A 6000-nucleotide genomic window follows, 5' to 3' on the forward strand; every position below is an offset into this window, starting at 1 on the left:
ATTTAAAATTTTTCTGTTTGTATTCAACAGAACTGTGAAGTGCTTCAGGAAGTGGATGAATATGATTTTATCTTGGTGAATGCTATTGTACTAACATAATGTCTAGTCATGGCAAAGCATGTTTATCAAGACGTACTGCAATACCCATAATTAAATTCATGCCAGAGAGAAGCAAATTTGTTTATCCTGAAATTTATTTGCTCATGTCAAATTTCTCTACATCTTTTCCAGTTTGGTCCTAGATGGCTGCATTTTTTTTTTCTTTGCTACAGTGAAGTCAGTTTCAATAGTTGACATGAAGTAAACAGACTTTGAATATTTAGTAATTGTGAGAATTCCCACAAGATCGTTCTCCACTTACTTCACCTCTTTGTCTTGGGTTTTTGTTTGTTGCCTAAATTCTTTGCATGGCATTTTTTCCAATTGACAATGTCAGAACAGAATCATTCCTTGCTCGCTCTTATTCTCCTGAGTGTGAGTCACAATATAACTGAACTAGTAATACATTACCTTGTATTAAACAATTAAAAAAAACAAAACTCTACTAAGTCTCCATCCTTCTGTGCCCAACTCCCTCCCTTCCTCACCAAAGATATATTACAGCAATTGTAAGGAACAGTTTGTCTCCTTGAAAGCAGAGGACAAACAAGGATACTGGCTGCCATGTTCCTTTTAGCTTACAACTGGATAGGTATGAAGTAATAAAGATGAGCAAAAGCAATGAACATGTGTGTACAGCCTAATATAAAAATAACATTTTACCAAATTATAAAAGTTCCTTTTTTCTGAATAGTTCAATTTGTTTTTATATGTATTTTTATATATATCCTATTTATAGTTACATCAGCCTTTAGAGGAAACAAAAGAATATTATTTGCACTCCTTTGCTAACAGGAGGAAACAAAGGCACCAACTGATAAGGAATTCCCTTGGGATTATGCACCATGATAGTCACAAAAGAGAAGTTTAAACCATTGGACTTCCAGCCTGGTTGGCTGGACACTAAGCCACTTTGCTTCCTAATATATATTTTTTCTCAACCAGAAAAACAAACAATGCCTTCAGTGAGCTGGTACTTTAAGAGGGTAATAAAGGTCTAAAGAGGCTAAACTTCAGTAGAGGCACAGAACAGAATATCTAACTTAACCTTTTGTTGGCATATTTCCAAAGGCAGAGAAATGCTTTATAAACTAAAATAACTCTGCATACAAAGAAATGACTTTCATTTGTCTCACTCACTGCAGATACAAATATAATCTGCTCCTATTTCCCTATCTGCATTTTCTCCTTAGTTACAAACTCAGCTTTAAAATCATATTATAGTTAAATATTAAAATATATCAAGAATATATGAGATACTTATATATGACTATCAATGAAATGGTCATCATTTAAGTGATGGAGTTAATGCACATGAATCTCTTCTAAGAAAAGAATGAGGATATATTTAGAGCTATTTAACATAAAATTGTACACCTGGAGGCAAACTTAGAGATGTACTGAAAATAACAAAGTCCTGAATGGTGAAGTGAGTTTCCCAAGGTTATATCACATCCTCATATCTATCTATCATAAAAATAATTAATAATAAAAATTAGTTGTCTTGCCTCTGTATTATAAAGTTAAGTTTGAACATAAGATAATAATATATTTTTAATTCTATGGGCTTCTGAGAAGACCTGATAGACAGTGGCGTGATAATTTCCCATTTAATAGTATATTTTGGAGGAAGTTTCTTTTAGAAAATGTTTTCATTTATTAGTAGCAGGAAAATCAGGGCTTTTAATCTCTCTTTTTCTTTGTAAGGATGAGTGTATATATGTGTGTGTATATATATATATATATATATAGCACATATTTTAGAATCTTAGAGATTATAGGTATATTGTCTTAAAGGAAAAAAATTAAGTATTGAGGAATTAATGAATTATTCATAAAGTATTGAGGAATAAATAAATTATTGTACTCCAGGTATAATAATGAAGAGAAGAAATATGAACATGAAACAGTAACTTAGGCAAATCATATAAAAACACCAGTTCAGTCATTGTATTTAAAACAAAAGTTTGTCGTTTGCATAGGTATAACTAACAGACAATCAAGTTGAAGATGTTTAAAGACAGATAAGGAAAGGTCTTTTTTGAGAAGCAGTAGATTTGAAACTATAGCTAGCAGTGTCTTTGAAACTACAGCTTTAGTGTCTTTAAGCAGAGGAGACAGGTAGATTTTTTTTTTAATTGTTCTGGCAACAGATAGGGACAGATAGGGGAAAGTCTGGAAAAGAGAAATATTGACAACAGATCATCTAAAATGTAAATTGTAATGATTCAGGCAAGAAATGATGAGAATCTGAACAAAGATTGTAGTGGTGGGAATAGAGGGAAGAAATATGAAATAACATATGTTTTAGTGGGTGAATATATAAGAATTTTTCATGCTGGAATATGGTCTGTGAAGAACATAAGAGGCATCAGGAATGAAACTGACATGTCTGGCTGAATGGATACTCTTATTGAGATAATACAGGAGAGATACATTGGAATGAATATATATGTACATATATATATAGACATATTATACATATGTATATAACGAGTAAAATATGTGATATATTAAGTTTTGGTTGCAAGTGGTTTATTGAATTAGAAGTATTCAAATAGTGGCTGGTTTGGAACTCAGGAGAGAGAACAAAAGAAGAGAAAAATATTTGAGGATCACCAGTTACTTGTTGCAAGAAGCAACTCTTATGAAATTATTTATGTGAATGTGAATAAAGAAATGCAAGAGGGGCAAGGACAAAACCTCAGAGAATATTAAAATGTGTTAACACATGTTGAAAGTGGCATCAATAAATGAGACAAAAACAGTATTTTCAGGTAGACAGTAGGTAAACTAAACAAACATGATATCCCTGGAATTCATGGCATGAGAGTTTTAAAAAGTTAAAATAGTAAACAAGAACAATCTGTTAACAAGAATCAAATAGATTGATGATTAAATAGAGAGCATTAAATCTGGCAATTTGGAGAACATTATAAATTTAATAAAAGCATCTCTAGAAGAATGAAGGATGGAAAACAGTTATTATCTTAGTCTGTTTTCTGTTGCTATAAAAACTACTTGAGACTGGTTAATATATAAAGAAAATAAATTTATATCTTACAGTTCTAGAAGCCAAAAAGTCCAATATCAAGGGGCTGGTATCTGGTGAAGGCCTTTTGCTATGACATCCCATGGCAAAAGAGAGCATGCCAGTTTAGGCCTCTCTTCCTCTCCTTTCAGAGCCATGCAGTTTGAAGGCAGGTAGCCTACTTTTATACCTTTATATCCCAGGCTAGATTTTGTACATTGTTATGTATATACCATACAAGAAATACTATGTTTCTTGTACATCATGATAGAGATCATCACATGGGATAGAAGAAAAGTGTCACAGCTCAAGTCTTTCTCTTCTTTTAAAACCACAGAACAGAGGTCTCAGAAATAATGCCACACATCTATAACTATCTGATCTTTGACAAACCTAACAAAAACAAGAAATGGGGAAAGGATTCCCTATTTAATAAATGGTGCTGAGAAAACTGGCTAGCCATATGTAGAAAGCTGAAACTGGATCCCCTCCTTACACCTTATACAAAAATTAATTCAAGATGGATTAAAGACTTAAATGTTAGACCTAAAACCATAAAAACCCTAGAAGAAAACCGAGGCAATACCATTCAGGACATAGGCATGGACAAGGACTTCATGTCTAAAACACCAAAAGCAATGGCAACAAAAGCCAAAATTGACAAATGGGATCTAATTAAACTAAGGAGCTTCTGCACAGCAAAAGAAACTACCATCAGAGTGAACAGGCAACCTACAACATGGGAGAAAATTTTTGCAACCTACTCATCTGACAAAGGGCTAATATCCAAAATCTACAATGAACTCAAACAAATTTACAAGAAAAAAACAAACAACCCCATCAAAAAGTGGGCGAAGCACATGAACAGACACTTCTCAAAAGAAGACATTTATGCAGCCAAAAGACACATGAAAAAAATGCTAATCATCACTGGCCATCAGAGACATGCAAATCAAAACCACAATGAGATACCATCTCACACCAGTTAGAACGGCAATCATTAAAAAGTCAGGAAACAACAGGTGCTGGAGAAGATGTGGAGAAATAGGAACACTTTTACGCTGTTGGTGGGACTGTAAACTAGTTCAACCATTGTGGAAGTCAGTGTGGCGATTCCTCAGGGATCTAGAGCTAGAAATACCATTTGACCCAGCCATTCCATTACTGGGTATATATCCAAAGGATTATAAAACATGCTGCTATAAAGACACATGCACACGTATGTTTATTGCGACACTATTCACAATAGCAAAGACTTGGAACCAACCCAAATGTCCAACAATGATAGACTGGATTAAGAAAATGTGGCACATATATACCATGGAATACTATGCAGCCCTAAAAAATGATGAGTTCATGTCCTTTGTAGGGACATGGATGAAGCTGGAAACCATCATTCTCAGCAAACTATCGCAAGGACAAAAAACCAAACACCGCATGTTCTCATTCATAGGTGGGAATTGAACAATAAGAACACTTGGACACAGGAAGGGGAACATCAGACACCGGGTCCTGTTGGGTTGCGGGAGGGGTGAGGGATAGCATTAGAAGATATAACTAATGTAAATGACGAGTTAATGGGTGCAGCACACCAACATGGCACCTGTATACATATGTAACAAACCTGCACATTGTGCACATGTACCCTAAAACTTAAAGTATAAAAAATAAAAAAAAATAAAAAAACTACCAGTCTTATTATGGGGGCCTCATGCTGATGACCTTATCTAACCCTAATTACTTCTCAAAGCCCCCACCTCCAAATTCCATCAATATATGAATTTGGGCATTAAATTTCCAAAACATGAAATCTGGGAGACAACTTCAAACTATAGCAGTTATTTTAAAAATGTATTTTCACAAATTATTTTTATATGCAGAGTTGGCTATAGCAAGTTAGAAAGAATTAGCTGACAACATTGTTGTTGGGATGTAAAACTGAATAGTATGTCAAAAATAGAGTATACCGTCAAAGTTATCAAAAAAAAGTCAGCAAAGAGTTATCTTTAGGGAGAAGGTGATAATTGTTTCTAATGGTCTGTAAATTAAGTGACATTTCTGTAGAACATAAAAGCAATCTTTTCAATTCACTGAGTCATTTTGCTTTATTTGTATTTTTTGAGTTCTGTATGTTTCTTGTGCACTCTAAGAAAAATAGAGATCTAGATTTATGTGAATGAGATGGAGAGACTTGGGTAGTTTATCCTGAATGAACTTTGGTACAGGAGCACAGGTCAGACAGCTGGCCCAATAGACAGTTAATGCTGCACACTTGAGGTGGAATTAATGTTTTTCTGTCGTATTTTCCTTTGCACCTGTGCCTAGGTTTTCCACTTTCAGAAGGCCTTTAGCAAATTTGAATCTGTATTTGTATACATCCAGTTTATGAGGGAATGTACTGAAGAGTCTACAGTAGATGGTATATAAAATCACAAGGCTGAATAAAACTGAAGTCTGCAGTTACTAGCTTTTCTCCTTTCCCAATTTCCTCTTCATACATCTTATTCATACACCAGGTTTTCACTGGGCAACTGGTGTATACATAGCACTGTACAAAATCTGGTTAGAGGCAGGCTGCTGGCCTTCAAACTGCATGCAGTCTAGGTGGGATAATGAGGTACCCTCAGGCTAAATAAGACAAGACAGAATATCATTTTGTGCAAATGGGTGTGGCAGGTGATGAATATTATGATGAAATATAGGTTAGTCTCACTTACTCTACTTATGATTTCTTGAACTAAGGAGATTGACCAAACCACAATGAGCCGTATTATTTTCAATTTATGAACCTTTGTCACAGTAGGACATTGACAACAAAGCATTCCATATTCTTAAGAGTGTGAATTTGTTGGAAGACTACATCATATCAT

Source organism: Homo sapiens, chromosome 14, assembly GCF_000001405.40.
Source record: "Homo sapiens chromosome 14, GRCh38.p14 Primary Assembly".
NCBI lineage: Eukaryota > Metazoa > Chordata > Mammalia > Primates > Hominidae > Homo > Homo sapiens.